At 34.0% G+C, this 19,558-nt stretch overlaps 1 protein-coding gene across 40 annotated transcripts in view; it reads left to right on the top strand.

The window, feature by feature from the left end:
* UCHL5 (ubiquitin C-terminal hydrolase L5) overlaps nt 1-19,558 on the top strand; it is a 47,823-nt gene that overhangs the window by 17,327 nt on the left and 10,938 nt on the right. For 22 of the 40 annotated variants that reach the window (NR_037607.2, NM_001350844.2, XM_047422329.1 and 19 more), the window contains 5 exons: nt 13,093-13,218; nt 13,301-13,362; nt 13,441-13,571; nt 14,602-14,665; nt 18,804-18,906. Coding sequence is in view for 37 of the 40 variants with exons in the window: in NM_001350844.2 (NP_001337773.1) it covers nt 13,093-13,218; nt 13,301-13,362; nt 13,441-13,571; nt 14,602-14,665; nt 18,804-18,906 (486 nt within the window). In the remaining 3 variants the exon portion in view is untranslated. Of the gene's footprint in view, nt 1-13,092; nt 13,219-13,300; nt 13,363-13,440; nt 13,572-14,601; nt 14,666-14,794; nt 14,876-18,803; nt 18,907-19,558 lie in introns of all 40 variants that reach the window. The other 18 variants (NR_146930.2, NR_146931.2, NM_001350840.2 and 15 more) reach the window with 1 other exon arrangement.

Below are 19,558 nucleotides of genomic sequence, written 5' to 3'. Positions count from 1 at the left end.
TCTAAGAAGAGTGTCATGAACAGATTTTCATTTAGAAGAGGCCATTTTGGCTCCAGTGTTGGGAATGCATTTGAGAAGTAGTGTAGGACAAGAGTAGATGTAAGTTAGGAGGCTTTTGCAGAAGTCCATGTGATAGTAAACAAAAAACTGGAAGTAAAGACAGATGTGAATAGAATTTAGAGATAAAGTATTACCACCTTTAATGTGTAATAGATTAGATGTGAGGACGGAGGAGGATGACATTATGATGATGGCTGTTTTTCTTTTTTCCTAAAAAGTTGCTCTTAAGGTACCCAGAATGGGATTATAAGAATCCTTGGTTAATAACACATATATATGATTGGTTTATTCATGGTCTCCTTTTATTTATTTGATTATTTTAAGAAACAAAGTAAGTGCCTAAGAACTTACCGCTGAAATAAACTTTATCTATGTTACTTCCTTCTGTCCCACCCATCGTTCAATGTACTTCTCGTCTTCCCTCTCTCCATCCAGTGTAACCCTTATGTTGAATTCTGTTTATCATTTTCTTTTTATGTATTTTTTGTAATCCTGAAAAAGGTGTTTGTAAATAAAATTTTAACTTGATAAAAAGTATCGTGCTCTATATACATTTTGGGAGTGTTTTTTTTTTTCTTTTTTTGGAGACAGGATCTCGCTCTGTCACCCAGGCTGGAGTGCAGTGGCATGATCACAGCTCATTGTAGCCTCAACCTCCTGCCTCAGCCTCCTGAGTAGCTGGGACTACAGATGCACACCACCATACCCTGCTAATTTTTTATATTTTTGGTAGAGACAGAATCTCATTATGTTACTCAGGCTGGTCTCTAACTCCTAGACTCAAATGATTCTCCCATCTTTGCCCTCACAAAGTGCTGGGATTACAGATGTGAACCATTAAGCCTGGCCTACTTTTTTCACTTAATATTATATTGTTAAGATTCATCCATAAGTTTATTATGATAGTTCATTTATTTTGCATGCTATATGATACCAGCTGCACTAACATGCTACAGTTTACTTAATCTTCTGTAGTTTGTTCTTTGGGTTTTCAATTTGAGTTACTGTGAATTGTGTTGCTGTAAACATTTTTTGTACATGTGCAAGTTTCTCCTGGTGTATACCTAGAAGTAGAATGAGTATTTCATCTAATATGTAAATGTGCAACTTTTGAAGGAAATATCCAAACGTTTTCTGAAGTAGCTGTTCAAATTTGCATTTCCACTAGCAATGTGTAGGAGTTGTTACAAAGCCACATATTATAACACGTGGCATTGCTAGGCTTTTAAATTTTTGTCAGCTAATTGGTTCCAAAATGCTACTTCATTTTTGTCTTGGCTTATGTCTCCCTGATCACTAATCATGTTGAAATGCCCTTCATGTGCTTAGTGGCCATATGTATTTCCTCTGTGAAATTCTTGTTTATGTTATTTTTCAATGGGGTTAATTATGCTTTTTTTAAAAAAAATTTATTGATACATAGTAGATGTACATATTTTGGGGATACATGTGATAATTTAATACCTTCACATAATTTATAAAGATCAAATTAGTATAATTGGGATATCAGTCACCTTAAATATTTGTCTTTATGCTAGAAACATTCAAATTATCCTCTTATAGCTATTTTGAAATATATGATAGATTATTGTAAACAATAGGCACCCTACTGATTTGTCAAACACTAGGTCTTCTTTCTTCTGTTAAACTGTATATTTGTACCTATTAATGAAACTCCCTTCATCCTCTTCACCACCCCACCCTTCCCAGCCTCTGGCAACCATCAGTCTACTTTCTATCCTGAAGATTTGCTGTTTTAGCTTTCACATGTGAGTGAGAACATGAGATATTTGTCTTTCTGTGCTTGGCTTATTTCATTTAACATAATGACCTCCATTTCCATATTGCTCCAAATAACAGGATTTCATTCTTTTTTATGGCTGAATAATCTCACATTGTATGTATATACTACATTTTCTTTATCCATTCATCCATTGATGGACACTTAAGTTGATTATATATTTTGGCTATTATTAATAGTGCCATAATAAAAACAAGGAGTGCAGATATCTCTTTGATATATTTATTTCCCTTCTTTCGGATCTGTATACCCAGTAGTGGATTGCTGGATTATACAATAGTTCATTTTTTAGTTTTGCATAACCTCCATACAGTTTTCCATAGTAGCTATACTAATTTACATTTCTACCAATAGTGTTTATGAGGGTTCCCCTTTCTCCACATCCTCACCACTTATCTGTCATTCCCTTTTTGTTAAAAGCCATTTTAACTTGGGTGAGATGATAACATTGCGGTTTTGATTTGCATTGCTCTGATGATTAATGATGTTGAGTATTTTTTTATATACCTGTTGGCCATTTGTATGTCTTTTGAGAAATGTCTATTCAGATCTTCTGTCCATTTTTAAATCTGATTTTTTTTATCTTCTCCTGTTGAGTTGCTTGAGCTTCTTATATATCCTGGTCGTTAATCCTTTATAAGATGGGTAGTTTGCAAATATTTTCTCCCATTCTGTGGGTTGTCGCTTTACTTTGTTGATTGGTTCCTTTGTTATGCAGAAGCTTCTTAGTTTGATGTAATCCTATTCATTTATTTTTGCTTTTGTTGTCTGTGCTTTTTGAGGTCTTACTAAAAAATTTTTGCCCCGACCAGTGTTCTGGAGATTTTCCCCAATGTTTTCTTATAGTAGCTTCATAATTTCAAGTCTTATATTTAAGTCTTTAATCCATTTTGATTTGATTTTTGTGTACGGTGGGACACTGGGATCTAGTTTCTTTTTTCTGCAATGGTTATCCAGTTTTCCCAGAACCATTTATTGGAGGAACTACCCTTTCTCTATTGTATATTCTTGGCACCTTTGTTGAAAATGATTTATCTGTAAATGCATGGAGTTATATCTGGATTCTCTATTCTGTTCCATTGGTCTATGTGTCTGTATTTATGCTAGAATCCTGTTGATTTGGTTATTATAGCTTTGTAGTCTATTTTGAAGTCAGATAATGTGATTCTTCCAGTTTAGTTCTTTTTGCTCAGGATTGCTTTGGCCATCTCGGGTCTTTTGTGTTCCGTATAAATTTTGGGATTGCTTTTTCTGTTTCTATGAAGAATGCCGTTGGTATTTTGATAGGGAGTGCATTGAATCTGTCCATTGCTTTCAGTAGAATTGTCATTTTAACAATATTAATTCTTCCAGTTCATGAGGATGGAATATCCAGTTTTTGGTGAACTCTTCATCAGTGCTTTATACTTGTCCTTGTATAGATCTTGCACTTCTTTGGTAAAATTGATTCTTAGGTATTTTAGATTATTATTTTTTTTTTGAGACATAGTCTCACTAGGTCACCCAGGCTGGAATGTAGTGGCACGATCTTGGCTCATCTCCACCTTGCCTCCCAGGTTCAAGCTATTCTTGTGCCTCAGCCTCCTGAGTAGCTGGGATTACAGGCATGTGCCACCATGCCAGGCTAATTTTTGTATTTTTAGTAGAGATAGGATTTTGCCATGTTGGCCAGGTTGGTCTCAAACTTGAGGCCAGGTTGGCCTCAAGTGATCTGCCCGCCTTGGGCTCCCAAAGTACTGGGATTACAGGCTTGAGCCACTGCACCTGGCCTACTTTATATTCTTTGTAGCTCTTTTAAATAGGATTTTTTTCTTAATTTCTTTTTCAGATTCACTGTTGGCATATATAATAGCAGCTGATTTTTGTATGCTGATTTTATATTCTTCAACTTTTTTGTTTTTGAGACAGGGTCTTGCTCTGTCTGGAGTGAAGTAGCACAATCATAGCTCACTATAACCTTGTGCTCCTGGGCTCAAGCAATCCTCCTGCCTCAGCCTCCCGAGTAGCTAAGACTACAAGTGTGCACTAGCACAGGTGGCTAATTTTTAGAATTTTCTGTAGAGACAGGGTCTCATTATGTTGACCAGCTGGTCTTAAACTCCTGGGCTCAAGCATTCCTCCTGCCTCAGCCTCCCAAAGTGCTGAGATTACAGGTGTGAGCTACTGTGCTTGGTTATATCCTGCAACTTTACTGAACTCGTTTATCAGTTCCAAGAGTTTTTTGGTGGTCTTTAGGTTTTTCTAAGATTATGTCAGCTATGAACAGTGCTAATTTTATTTCTTCCTTTCCAGTTTGGATGCCTTTTATTTCCTTCTCTTGCCTGGTTGCTCTAGGCAGGACTTGCAATATTACGTTGAATAAAATGGTAAAAATGATCATCCTTGTCTTGTTCCTGATCTTAGAGGAAAGACTGTGGTTTTTTTTTTTTTTTTTGAGATGAAGTCTCACTCTGTCGCCCAGGCTGGAGTGCAGTGGCGCGATCTCGGCTCACTGCAAGCTCCGCCTCCCGGTTCACGCCATTCTCCTGCCTCAGCCTCCCGAGTAGCTGGGACTACAGGCGTCCGCCACCATGCCCAGCTAATTTTTTGTATTTTTAGTGGAGACAGGGTTTCACCGTGTTAGCCAGGATGGTCTTGATCTCCTGACCTCGTAATCTGCCCGCCTCGGCCTCCCAAAGTGCTGTGATTACAGGCGTGAGCCACGGTGCCCGGCCTAAGACTTTAACTTTTTTTAAATTCAGTATGATATTAGCTGTGAGTCTGTTTTATGTGGCTGTTATTGTGTTGAGGTATGTACCTTCCATATCCAGTGTATTGAGGGTTTTTGTCATAAAGGCATGTTAAATTTTATCAAATGCTTTTTCAGCATCTGTTGAAATAATTAGGTAGTTTTTTTCTTGGTATCACATTTATTGATTAGCACATATTGAACCATCTTGCATCCCTGGATGACTCTTACTTAATCAAGGTAAATGACCTTTTTTTTTTTTTTTTTTTTAATACTTTAAGTTCTAGGGTACATGTGCACAACGTGCAGGTTTGGTTTGTTACATATGTATACATGTGCCATGTTGGTGTGCTGCACCCATTAGGTAAATAATCTTTTTAATGTGGTATTATTTAATTTGGTTTGTTACTTTTGAATTTGGTTTGTTACTATTTGGTTGAAGATTTTTGCATCTATTATCATCAGTGATACTGGTCTGTAGTTTTTTTGTTGTGTCCTTGCCTGGTTTTGGTATCAGAATAATGCTGATTTTGTAGAATGGGTTGGAAAGCATTCCTTCTTCTTCAATTTTTTTGAAGAGTTTGAGTAAAATTAGCATTCATTCTTCTTTAAATGTTGAGTAGAATTTAGTAATGAAGTTGTCACATCCTGGGCTTTGCTTTACTTTTAATTATGGCTCTGATCTCATTACTTGTTATTAGATTCTTTAGATTTTTTTATTCCTTCCTGGTTCAGTCTTGGTAGGTTGTATGTATCTAGGAATTTGTCCATTTCTAGGTTTTCCAATTTTTTTGTATATAGCTGTTCATAATAGTTTCTAATGATTCTTTGTATTACTGTGATTTCAGATGTTATGTGTCCTTTTTTGTTTCTGATTTTATTTATTTGGATCGTCTTTCTTTTTTCTTAGCCTGGGTAAAGGTTTGTCAATTTTGTTTACCTTTCCTGAAGATTTTTCATTTCCTTGATCTTAATATTGTTTTTTTAAGTCTCGATTTCATTGATTTCTGCTCTGATCTTTATTATTTCTTTCCTTCTAATAATTTTGGGTTTGGTTTGTTCCTGCTTTTCTAGTTCCTTGGGGTATATAATTAGGTGGTTTATTTGGAGTCTTTCTACTTTTTTGATATTTTCGCTATGAATTTCCCTCTTAGTATGCTTTTGCCATATCTCATAGATTTTGGTATGCTGTATTTCCATTTTTATTTGTTTCAATGCATTTTAAATTTTTTTCTTATTTTCTTTATTGGCCTATTCATCATTTAGTAACATGTTGTTTAATCTCTATGTGTTTGTGTAGTTTCCAAGGTTTCTATTATTGATTTCTAGTTTTATTCCATTGTGGTCTGAAGAGAAACTTGGTATGTTATTTTACTATAAATCATATTATTCAGTGATTTATTGAGAACTTGTTTTGTGGACTAACATGGTCTATCCTCGGTGTATGCTGGATATCCATATGCTGATGAAAATAGTGAAAATAATGTGTATTTTGCAGCAGTTGGGTGAAATGTTCTGTAAATGTCAGTTAGGTTTATTTGGTTTAGTCTGTAGTTAACCTCTGATGTTTCTTTGTTGGTTTTCTGTTTGCATGATCTGTCAGAGAGAGTAGATAGTAGTATTTGCTTTAGATCTATAAACACTTGCTTTATATTTATACACTTGGGAACTCAGGTGTTAGGCGTATACATATTTATAATTGTTATATTCTCTTGCTAGATTGACCCCTTTATCATTATGTAGTGACCTTCTCTGTCTGTTTTTATAGTCTTTGCTTTGTAGTCTATTTTATCTGATATAAGGATAGTACTCCTGTTCTTTTTTTTTTTTTTTTTTTTTTTTTGGTTTCCAGTTGCACAGAATATCTTCTTCCACCCTTTCCCTTTTGGTCTATATATCTTTATAGATGCGGTGGGTTATTTGTACCCACCATATTATGGGGTTTTATATCTTTATGAACTCAGAGACTCTATGCCTTTTAATTGAAGAATTGAGCCTATTTACATTCAGTGTTATTATTGATAAGTGAGGACTTATTACTCCCATTTTGTTGCTTGTTTTCTGGTTGTTTTGTAATTGGTCTCTTCCATTCTTACAGTCTTCCTTTGTTGTTAAGAAATTTTCTCAGGTTGTATGTTTTAATTTGTTGTTTTTTATTTTTAGTGAATCTATTACAGGTTTTTGCATTGCGGTTACCATGAAGCTTACAAAACATATACATATGACATGTTATTATAAAGAGGTAACAACTTAGATTATAAAGAAAAGAATAGAAGCAAAGAAAAAAACTCTACACTTTAACTTTTTACCCCTTATATTTTGACTTTGTGTTTTGTCAATATACGTATTTCTTATATTGTCTGTTTCAACAGGTTGCTATTGGTATTGCTGTTTGGGGTAGATTTGTCTTTTGGGCTTTATATCAGAGTTATGAGCAGACTGCATACCATAGTGACAATATTATTCTGGGTTTCTTTGTGTATTTACTTTTACCAGTGGATTTTAGACCTTAAAATGTTTTGGTTTTGCGCATTAGTGTTTTTTTCTGTTCAGATTGAAGAAGTGCCCTTAGCATTTCTCATAAAACAAGTCTCGTTGTGGCCACTTCTCTCAGCTTTTGTATGGGAAAGACTTTACTTCTCATTCATATTTGACGGATAGCTTTGCTGGAGAGAGTATTCTTGGATGGTGTTTTTTTTTTCTTCTTTTAGAATTTGAAAATTTCATCCCACTCCCTCCTGGCCTGTATGGTTTCTGTTGAGAACCCCGTTGCTAGATGAATTGAAGCACCTTTAGATATTGTTTGCTTGTTTTCCCTTACTGCCTTTAGGATCCTCTCTTTGTCTTTAACCTTTGAGAGTTTGATTATTATATGACTTGGAGTAGTTTTCTTTGGGTAGTTTTATTTTTTAGGTTGTTGCCTTTGGCATAAAGACAGGCAGTTCACTTTCATCTATTAATATTATATTTAGCCATCCTGCTAAACTTTTCTATTATCACTAATAATTTGTTTTTTTTTCTTGAGTGGGTGTGTTTTTATCAAAATGACCATATCAGGTATAAATAATGATAGTTTTATTTCCTCCTTTATAATCCTTTTGACTCTAATTTATTTTTCTTGTCTTAGTTCCTAGCTAAGACCCTCCAATAAAACCACTTGCAACTTAAAAGAGAATGCCTCTTACCATTTCTCCATTTAGGATGATGTTTACTCCAGCTTTTTTATTTTTAATGTTCTGTTATTAATTAGTGTGTTTATTATGAAAGTATATTAAATTTTTTCAAATCCTTTTTCTGCCTCTATTGAGATGATCTTCTGTATTTTCTTCCTTTTGCTAGGTTAATGCAGTTAATTATGTTCGGATTTTTCTAATATTAAATCATTCTTCCAAACCTGGGATAAGCCCACTTGGTCAGGGTGTATTCTCTTTTTATGCACTATTGGGTTAAATATAGTAGTATTTTGTTTAGGTTTTTGCATTTAAATTTTTGAATGAAATGTGTCTTAATTTTTCTTCTTCTGTAATGGCTTTGACTCGTTTTAGTATTAAGGTTATTCTGGCTTCATGAAATGAGTTGGAATTTTCTCTTATTTTTAGTGCCTTGAACAATTTGTGTAAAATTAAGGTGATATACTTCTTCAAATTTTTGTAGAATTGACCTGTATATCCATGTAGGCCTGGTATTTTCTTTGCGAGAATATTTTAAAATACTGCTTCATTTCAGTAGTTAAGGGACTATTGTGGCTCTTTATTTTTTCTTGAGTTGGTTCTGGTAAGATGTATTTTTTTAAAAGATTTCTTCATTTCAGCTTAAATTTTCAAAATCATTTCATACGGTTGTTATTAATATTCTTTTATTCTTTTAAATCTTATTTTATTTTTAGTTATATTTCTAATTCCTAGATTTCTCACTTGCATGTTTGTGTGATAGTGGTTTTATGTATTATATTAACCTACCACTCTTTATTATTTCATACTTTTATTAGGGTAGGAACCTGGCTGATCTTATTTCTCCTTTTAGCCGCCTTCAGTCCTTCCTGTAAATTGACTTAAACTGAATCTTTCTGAACCACTGTTTTGATTATTTTATTTCTATATTCAAAATGTCTTACTCTTTGGGTAAACTCCTAATTACTCAAGGCCAGTGACTTAACAAGGTAAAGAATAACCCCACTATGACTATAACCACACTAGTACAAATGACCAATATGCTCATTGTCTCTTGAACAACAAGCACATCAAACATCTTAATTTGTTCTTTTGTTCACACTGTTCTCACTTTTTAAAGTGAATTTCCTTCTCTATTCTCTAGTTCCTACCAAGCTTTCAAACCCCTATTAAAATTTCACATTTGTGAAAAAACTTTCTCTGATACTCCAGTATAAAATGATTTTTTCCTTTACTATTTTGTTTTTCTGGTGTTCATCCCTTTTTTCTGTGTATCTTTCTTTATAGAGTCTTCATGAGCAGGACATTTATACTTTTTTTCAGTATCACTTTCTCTTGGGAAAGCTACTGTTACATTCTCAACCTTTTTCCTTGACTATTAAAAAATTTAAAATTGTATGTATTTATATTGCTATAGCTGTGACTCAATGAAGATTGACAATAATTTTTTTAACTTAATATATATATATATTGTATACTTTAAGATACATGTGCAGAATGTGCAGGTTTGTTACATAGGTATACACGTGCCATGGTCGTTTACTGCACTGATCGACCCATCGTCTCCATTAGGTATTTCTCCTAATGCTATCCCTCCCCTTGCCCGCAACCCCCCGACAAGCCCCGGTGTGTGATGTTCCCCTCCCTGTGCCCATGCGTTCTCATTGTTGAACTCCCGCTTACGAGTGAGAACATGTGGTGTTTGGTTTTCTGTTCCTGTGTTAGTTTGCTGAGAATGATGGTTTCCAGTTTCATCCATGTCCTTGCAAAGGACATGAACTCATCCTTTTTTATGGCCACATAGTATTCCATGGTGTATATGTGCCACATTTCCTTTTTCCAGTCTATCATTGACGAGCATTTGGGTTGGTTCCAAGTCTTTGCTATTGTGAACAATACTGCAATAAACATACATGTGCATGTTTCTTTATAGTAGAATGATTTAAAATCCTTTGGGTATATACCCAGTAATGGGATTGCTGGGTCAAATGGTATTTCTGGTTCTAGATCCTTGAGGAATTGCCACACTGTCTTCCACAATGGTTGAACAAATTTACACTCCCACCAACAATGTAAAAGCTTTCCTGTTTCTCCACATCCTCTCCAGCATCTGTTGTTTCCTGACTTTTTAATGATCGCCATTCTAACTGGCGTGAGATGGTATCTTGTTGTGGTTTTGATTTGCATTTCACTAATGACCAGTGATGATGAGCTTTCTTTCATATGTTTGTTGGCCACATAAATGTCTTCTTTTGAAAAGTGTCTGTTCATATCCTTTGCCCACTTTCTGATGGGGTTGTTTATTTTTTTCTTCTGCATTTGTTTAAGTTCCTTGTATATTCTGTGTATTAGCCTTTGTCAGATGGATAGATTGCAAACATTTTCTTCCATTCTGTAGGTTGCCCGTTCACTCTGATGATAGTTTCTTTTGCTGTGCAGAAGCTCTTCAGTTTAACTGGATCCCATTTGTCAATTTTGGTTTTTGTTGCAATTGCTTTTGGTGTTTTAGTCATGAAGTCTTTGCCCATACCTATGTCCTGAATGGTATTGCCTAGGTTTTCTTCTAGAGTTTTTATAGTTTTAGGTCTTACGTTTAAATTTTTAATCCATCTTGAGTTAATTTTTATATATGGTGTAAGGAAGGGGTCCAGCTTCAGTTTTCTGCATATGGCTAGCCAGTTTTCCCAATACCATTTATTAAATAGGGAATCCTTTCCCCATTGCTTGTTTTTTGATTGACTATAATTTATATAGGCAGTACTTTAAGCTATTTTTATATTATTCCTCTGGACATCTACTCTTCTTTTGTATAAGCTTTGAAAAGAAATTCTCTAGTCTGGGGATTACAAAATCAAATGCCTTCAGTATCAGGTTGTCATCATGAATGTGTGAATTGGATTGTGTGTAAGAAGTAGAGAGTAGAAGTGCCCTGATAAACTAAAGACTATATACCCTGGCGTAGGAATTCAAACCAAACTCTTAAGGTTCTGGGTCAGTCCTACTTGAGACCCTCTGCTCTAGCCTCATTTCTATTATTGAACTCTACTGCTTTATTTTAAATTATCTTAAAAGCCAGAGTTAAAGTAGAACACTTAGGTAAGCTAAAGATTTTTAAAGTTGAGAACTACCTAAATAATTCATACTGCAATAGATTTTTTGTGACGTGAGTTACAGTTCTTTCAAATAGAACTTTGACTATATATAAGATTATTTTTATGTGAGATTTAGGAGGACAAGGACCACATCTTTCTTATTCACTGTTCAGCCTTTATTACAATGTCTGGCACGTAGTAGGTGCTCAGTAAGTATTATTTGAATGAATGAATGAATGGCTGTACACCTTTAAATTTTCTTTTGTTTTTTGTTAATTTTGTACTATGTATAGCATAACCACTTGGTGGCACTAAACTCATTTTAAAACTTGAAGACAATATTCTCATACCCATGTACATTGTAACTTTTCTTCTCACAGACACATACAAAATGAGTTCTAATATATCATGGACAGTGTAAATTATTATTGACATCAAAAAAGAAAGTAACCACAAGAATTTTTTCTACTTCTTAAAATCCTAAAATAATGGATTACAAATTTGAAGTCCTTAGATTATAGAAATGTTTGATAATCTTTTCTGCCGTAGCCTCACTGCCTAGTTTAGCATTGGGTATATATTAAATCTTTAAGGTGTCTTGATTTTGAAAGAATGTGTTAATAAGTATAAATTTTAACTTCTCCTAACTTTACTCCTCCCACTGTGCTATCCTCAGATAATTTCACCTTAGGTAATTTAGACCTAAGATAAGGGAGTACTAAGTGTTACAGTGTTTTAGTCAACCACATTTATAAAGTCCTCTTTAATCATTAAAGTTTGCATCCAAATTTACTAAAGAACTGTGATTCGGATCAAAATACATATTCGTATAAGTCAGCAGCAATGCTAATTGGATTCTGGATCTATCACTACTTTTTCCTAATTCATCAATTTTAAGACAGTTTTGAATACAAAATGCTTAAAGAGAAGAATTGTAGAAGCATGGTGATGTTATAGTTATTGAGAATTAGGAGTACGAGACTATTCTGTAATGGAGAGTGCAGTCTTATTAAGGAATTTCTCAAATATACTTCAGTCAACAGTTCAGGAACTGGTAGATATTCATAAGATCTTAAAAACCTCTACCAACATGAGAAATAGAGAACTATAAGAATTAAAGAAGGAAAATAATTGAATTTTTTTCTTCTGAAATCAGGCAGGATAAAAATAGATAATTTACTAAAATGTAAAATCATAAGCTAATTAGCATTATTGGAAAGACTAATTACAATATAGTAACATAATACTGTAGTAGGACTAAGCTGTAATTTAAAAAATTATTCAGCTCTGTGATTAACCTTGCTGGTGTTCACACTGATCATCTAAGGTTCTTTCCAGCTTCATGATCTCAATACCATAGGTGCTTAGGCAGTGTGGAAGAAACTGCTGTTCATAAAGTGGTTTATAATCTTGTTGGAGAGACCACGTGTATGTACAGAGATAGCCTAGCATGATGGCTATGTACACAAATTCTAGAACAAGATCAGCTGTGTGCCCTTGGGCACTTACCTCTTTGTGCCTCAGCTTCTACAAATTTAAAATGAAGATGATAATAGTAATCCTTCTGCATAAGTTGTTGAGAGGATTAAAAGAAATAATGCATGTAGAGTGCCTAGAAAAGTAACTGGCACATAGTAAATGCTATCTAAATGTTTTTTCCTTTGGCTAGAATGTAAGGTCCAGATAATTTGTTAAATGATTATAGCTAGATGATAGCAATGTAAAGACTGTAGATGATTGAGTGAAAAAAAATATGTGGACATTGTATACCCTGTTTGGGAATTTAAATGAGGGTGGAAACTAATGTGAGTTGGGTTCAGAATTTCTCTACAATCACACAGGTGAATTGAAGCTTATGCTCGGTTATAAAATACTAATTGAATTTGAATAGGTAGAAATGAGTCTAGGAGGAAATGAATAGGAGAGGGGGACAAGCTCTGTTGGCTTAATCAGCTATGTTTTCCATCAGGATGATTGATCTTGTTACCCTAACTGGATTGGTTTTTGGTAATATTATGAGTTCATTGAGTTCATTTGGTTTCCTAGAATTTTCAACTCCAGAAGTGCAGCAAATTTCTGAAAATAGATTAGGATAGAAATTAAACATATTTATTCTGTTTATGCTGAGACTTCATAAAATATAATTTGAAAACTGTTCATGTTTTGGGGCCATTGTCACCAGTTAAAAACCATTTTTTATTTTTTTAAACACATTGATATCTTCACTTTTATATTTTATAGGTAATTAATAATGCTTGTGCTACTCAAGCCATAGTGAGTGTGTTACTGAACTGTACCCACCAGGATGTCCATTTAGGCGAGACATTATCAGAGTTTAAAGAATTTTCACAAAGTTTTGATGCAGCTGTGAGTACAATCTTCTTATTCCTAAAATGTCATATTTGTGAAAGTTTGTATATTAATAGGCTACTTTAAAAAATTATTTTAGATGAAAGGCTTGGCACTGAGCAATTCAGATGTGATTCGACAAGTACACAACAGTTTCGCCAGGTAAAGAGACTTTATGTTAAATAAATACTGTTTCTTTCTTTGCTTCTTTGAGTTTCACTATTTTTTTATTTACTGTAGACAGCAAATGTTTGAATTTGATACGAAGACATCAGCAAAAGAAGAAGATGCTTTTCACTTTGTCAGTTATGTTCCTGTTAATGGGAGACTGTATGAATTAGATGGATTAAGAGAAGGACCGATTGATTTAGGTAATGCAGTTCCTGTTCCTGATATTTCACTTTTGACAGGGGAAAATCTGTTGGGTATTTACCCTCATTCAGTGCTGCTTAAATTTTCAAGGTAAAAGTGACTATGAGGTAACATAATATAATGAAGGCCTTAAGCTCTTCAGTGTGTTATATTAATATATAGGAAGGACATCTTGACTACCATAGTTCAGTTGATGCCTTTGAGTTTTTCCCAAGTAAAATTATTTTTTAACCTATAGGTTACATAATTTATATTTTATTTTCCATTTAACATTTAAAAACTACCCTTAGTGAACGTAAATAGTTACTCTTGTCATTTTTAACCCATTCGTAAGGGATAGCAAGCATTTCTTAACATCCGTATTAAAGTATTTTCATTTGGAATTGGATAATTTATTGTTTTGCAATCAAGAAAATATTTTTCTTAAAATTTCTCTATTTAAATAGTGCGTTAATGTGTTATCCTTTCTGCAAAAACATAGATTGTTCTGATCCTACCCCGTCTCTAATGCTGAGCAAAAAATGATAAACACTTATCAAAGTTGAAGGTACAATCTGTGGCTCTGAAAGATTACTGAAATAATAGGTTCACAAAATAATTTTAACTCCTTATTTTGACTTCATTAAATTTTCTTTTTCTTTTTTTAATAATAGGTTTGAAGTCCAACACAACTTGTTTTAGTTGAATCTAATGTTATAGGCTATTCATAAAACTTTATACTTTTAGATTTTAAAAAAATTAACATGGGTGCATTTTGTTTGTACTTTTTGCCATGCCCCATGCGTAGAACCAATAGTTTATCCAATGCAGATTTACATGCTGCCTCTATATTTAAAAATATTTATTTTTCTATGTGTGTTATAAAAATTTATTTATGGAATTGAAACAACATAATTATACTAAAAAGAGTTTTACTGCTCTAAATTTATTAAAATATTTGTAAAAAAATATTTTGGGCCAAACTTTTGCATTTTAAAGTTGATTGTTCTTATTTTTATTTGTGTTAACTGTTTTAAAATTTCTTTCTAGGTGCATGCAATCAAGATGATTGGATCAGTGCAGTAAGGCCTGTCATAGAAAAAAGGATACAAAAGTAAATGCTCAGCTAATCTCATTGGCATAATATTCTGTTTTTTAAGTATTTTTTAAACTTGTATTTTATTGTTATTTTAGCAGTGTGCATTGAACATCTACTTTTTTTTTTCTTTTTAATTTTTCGTAGAGACGGGTTTTCACCATGTTGCCCAGGCTGGTCTCAGACTCCTGAGCTCAAGCCATCCGCCTGCCTCGACCTCCCAAAGTGGTAGGATTACAGGCGTGAGCCACTGTGCCCAGCCAAACATCTACTTTTGATTGGGTTAATGCATTTAAGAAGTCTATTTCAGAAAATCTCTAAATTTCATGTAGTAGTATGTCATCTTGTCTTTAGAGAAGTTAAACATGCAGATTTCCATTAAGTTAGATAATTTTTTATTTTCTTTTTTTTATTTTTTGAGACAGAGTCTCACTGGGTCGCCCAGGCTGGAGTGCAGTGGCACAATCTCGGCTCACTGCAACCTCTGCCTCCCGAGTTCAAGCGATTCTCGTGTCTCAGCTTCCCGAGTAGCTGGGATTATGGGCACATGCCACCACACCCGGCTAATTTTTGTATTTTCAGTAGAGGTGGGGTTTCACCATGTTCTCCAGGCTTGTCTCAAACTCCTGACCTCAAGTGATCTGCCCACCTTGGCCTCCCGAAGTGCTGGGATTACAGGCATGAGCCACTGCACCCGGCTAGGTATTTTGTACTGTTGGATAATTGACAGTTATTTTGTAGAGTTTTATTTTTGAGGGTTTATTTTTAATATTAAGCTCTTTATTTTGGGGTAATTGTATATTCAATTTCAGATAATTATATATATATTCAGTTGTAAGAAATAATACAGAGACATCTTGTGTATTTTTTATCTTTCAGTGGCAACATCTTGCAAAACTATAGTGTAATATCACAGCCAGGATACTGGCATTGATGTAGTCAAGATACAGCAAAATTTGCTCTCCACAAAGATCCCTTGTATTGTTCTTTTTAGGCACAACCACTTCTCTCCCTGCTGCCTTTCCCTTTCCTTTACTTCTTAATCCCTAATTCTATAATTTTTGTCATTTAAAGAATGTTATATATGAATTTTACAATATGTAGCCTTTTCGCATTAGCTTTTTCACTCAGTTTATTTCTTGGAGATTCTTCCAAGTTTTTAAGTGTATCAGTAGTTCATTTTTTTATTCATAGATGGTATTCTGTGGTATGGATATACCAGCTTTTTGCCTCTTCATCCATTGAAGGACATCTGGATTGTTTTCTATTTTTTGGCTACTGAGAATAAAGCTACAATAAACGTTTTTGTGCAGATTTTTTGTGACTGCAAGTTTTCATTTCTCTGGGATAAATGCCTATGTGTTGCATTGCTGGGTTGCATGGTAAATGGATATTTTTTTTTTTTTTTAAGAAACTACCAAACTCTTTTCCAGAGTGACTGTACCATTTTATATTTCTACCAGCAATATATGAACGGTCTAGTTCCTCTGCATCCTTTTTAGCATTTGGTGTTACCACCATTTTTAGTTTAACCATTCTAATAGATGTATAGTGATACTTCATTGTGGTTTTAATCTGCATTTCCCTGATGACTAATGATGTTGAAAATCTTTTCGTGCCTTTAGCTCATTTTCTGATTGGATTGTTTTTTGACTCTTGAGTCTGAAGTTCTTTACGTATTTTAGATACTAATCCTTCATCAAACACATTGCCTGCAAATATTCTCTCCCAGTCTGTAGCCCATCCACTTGTACTCCCAAAATGGTCTTTCACAGAGCAAAAGGTCTTAATCCTGATGAAGTACAGTTTATCAATATTTGACACTATGAATTGTGTTTTTGTTTTCAGTCTAAGAATTCTTTGTCTCGGTGTAGATACCAAAATTTTTTTCCTGTGTAATTTTCTTAAAAGTTTATAGTTTAATGTTTTACATGTAAGTCTATGATGTATTTTGAGTTAATTTTTGTATATGGTATGACATTTAGATCACGGGTCATTTTTTTTTTTTTTTTTGCCTATGCATATTCAATTACTCAGGCACCGGTGGTTCAAAAGGCTATCCTTCCTCCACTGAATTCCTCCTGCACCTTTGCAAAAATGGAGCATATTGGTGTGGGTCTATTTCTGGGCTCACTAGTCTGTCCATTGTTCCATTTATCTGTTCCTCTGCCAGTACTACATTGTGTTGATTACTGTAACTCTAAGTCTTGAAATCAGGTAGACCGATGCCTTTCATTGTATTCTTCTCTTCAAAATTGTTTTAACTACTATAGTTCCTCTGCCTTCCCATATAAATTTTAGTATAATCTTCTCTATATCTATAAAAGTAAGACTTTGGATCTTATTTAAAATTTCTGTGTGAGCTGGTTTTTATGGACATGGCTCTGACAGGGTAAATGTAAATTGTGGGTGCCACCTCATTACACCAGGTGGGAGTAGAAGTCCAGCTTCCCTACTAGGCCTTCAGTGACAACTGAAATGGAATAAGGCTCCTTGTTATTGCTGGGCAGAGATGGGTGTTCTAGCCCCCAGCAGAGTTTCTGTTGATACCACTCTGGCTGAGAGGGGTAGGAGTGCCTTGCTATTGCTTTCCACTCATACTGAAGTGGATGAGGCTACTTTGCCACTGGATGGCAGTGACAATTTTGGCTTCCCATTCTGTGTCCTTTGATACCACAAATGGGTGTTGTCATTACCACATGGCAGGGATGAAAGTCCCCATTCCCTACCCAGCCTTTTTAAATACCAACCTAGGAACCTTGTTAAAGGTTGGAAGACAAGACTGGAAGTCCAGCTCTCTATTCTGCTTTTACTGGTTTTGAGTAGGGGTGAGGTCACAGATTTTTCAATCATGTTTGGCTATAGTGGAATGATTATTGTCTAAAAGTTTTCTGTCTTCTGAGGCTGCACCTTTTCTATTTGGCTAGAGAGAGCAGACTTTTGTTGGGGCTTTTTTTTGTCTGTGCCTGTTGGTATTTCTGGGTTGCTGGTTTCTTCAGCTCCAATTCTGGGATATATGAGGCAGAAAAAAACCTCAGGAAATTCACTATTGTATCATTCTTGGTTCCTGAGTTCCCCAGCTTGTCTGCTTTTTTTCTACCTTTCAGAATGTTCTTGCTTGCTCTTTTTAAAAAACATATTATGTCCAGGGTTTTTAGTTGTACTTACTGGCAGGGATAGGGACATGGAAGTCCCACAATCAGTGTTTTAAAGACATTTTTACATAGTTCAAATTACTATAGTTATGTTGGGGCCATTTGTTTTCAGTGAATAGAACTGTGTATGAGAAACTCTTAGAGATAAACTAATGCAAAATGGGCTCATATTTTCTATATATTTTCATCTTAATGCCATTTACATAGTGTTATGAATAATGCTTTTAATGTCAGTTGCTACCATGAACCAGCTTGTTATGAGATGCTTCATTGATATCAGAGTAGTGAAAATCAAACATTCAGAAATTTTACTATACGATATAATTATATATTATATTAATAAAATATGTTATATTTATTTACATATAAGATAAAATTTAAAATATATAAATTAAAAATAGAAAGTTCATCATGACTTGGAAAAAATTATATAATACGGAGCATAGTTAATACCCATCAAGATGCCAGTCTAAATAATTTAAGAAATATGGAGTCTCCATTTGTTTTTTTCTGAGCTCTTAAGTTAATGTGTTGCCATATTTCTTATAAAGGTAGGGAAATTGATGAAAATGTTTTTTATTTCAAATGTTTTATGACATTATTTTAGAATATTTAAAAAACATTTGTGATTGATGGAATTTAGCCAATTTTGTTTTTCTACAGTTGTCTTTCCTATATGAAAGCTTTTTTTTGTTTTTTTTTTTAAGAGACAGGGTCTTGTTCTGTTGCCCAGACTGGAGTATAGTGCACTATCATAGCTCACTGCAGCCTCCAGCTTCTAAACTCAAAGGATCCTCTCCGCTCCTGAGCCTCCCAAGTAGCTGGGAGGCACCTATGTGCCTGACCTGAAAGCTTTTTAAAAGTGTCCATTTTTATTGCTAGCCAATTGATAGACTTTTGTTTATACTAGAAAATCAAGAGGGGAATCACGATGGATTATCTTAACGGTAATAGTTGTACAATTCTTTATTACATTATAAACTTAAATAATTTTCTTCTAGGTACAGTGAAGGTGAAATTCGATTTAATTTAATGGCCATTGTGTCTGACAGAAAAATGATATATGAGCAGAAGATAGCAGAGTTACAAAGACAACTTGCAGAGGTTCGTGGCCATGTTTCTAAGTACAAAGTTCTAGCTTGGTTATTCTCTCAGGAAAAGTATTTACTTTAAATATATATATAATCAAGTGGTCTGAATGGTGGCTAAGCGAATACACACTGGATTCAGGCTGCCTAGATTCGGTTCCTGGCTTTGCACTTAGTGGATATAGGAATCTGAGTATATTTCCTTGTGCCTCAGTTTCTTCATATAGCATAAAAATAATAAATAGTATTTACCTTAGAATATTGTCATGAGGAGTAAATGAAGTATTATGTGTAAATCACTTAATGACTAACAAATGGTAAATGCTAAATAAGTGTTAGGAATGAACTATTTTAACTATTTTCTGTGACTTCATTATATAATTAAGCAAGTTAATTCTCAAAGAGTTAACTGGGTATATTTAGAGTCACATGTAGTCTTTACTAGTCTATGATTACCTTTCTATAGTAAATGTCATTGGAGAAGAGATTAATAGACAAAGTTTATTTTACAATCCTTTGAGCACATTTTCTTAAGAGTATATTTAAGAAAATTTATTTTATAGTGTATTAGGAGAATATGGCAATAGAGTATATTACAGCGTAGGTTGTTTTTAGATGAAAATTCGTATTATTAGAACATAGAAATATGGAAGGTACTATTTTGGGGC

This window comes from Homo sapiens, chromosome 1, assembly GCF_000001405.40.
Source record: "Homo sapiens chromosome 1, GRCh38.p14 Primary Assembly".
Classification (NCBI taxonomy): Eukaryota; Metazoa; Chordata; class Mammalia; order Primates; family Hominidae; genus Homo; species Homo sapiens.
The sequence above is the reverse complement of the archived record's forward strand: the minus strand, read 5'-3'. Positions and strand labels throughout refer to the sequence as shown.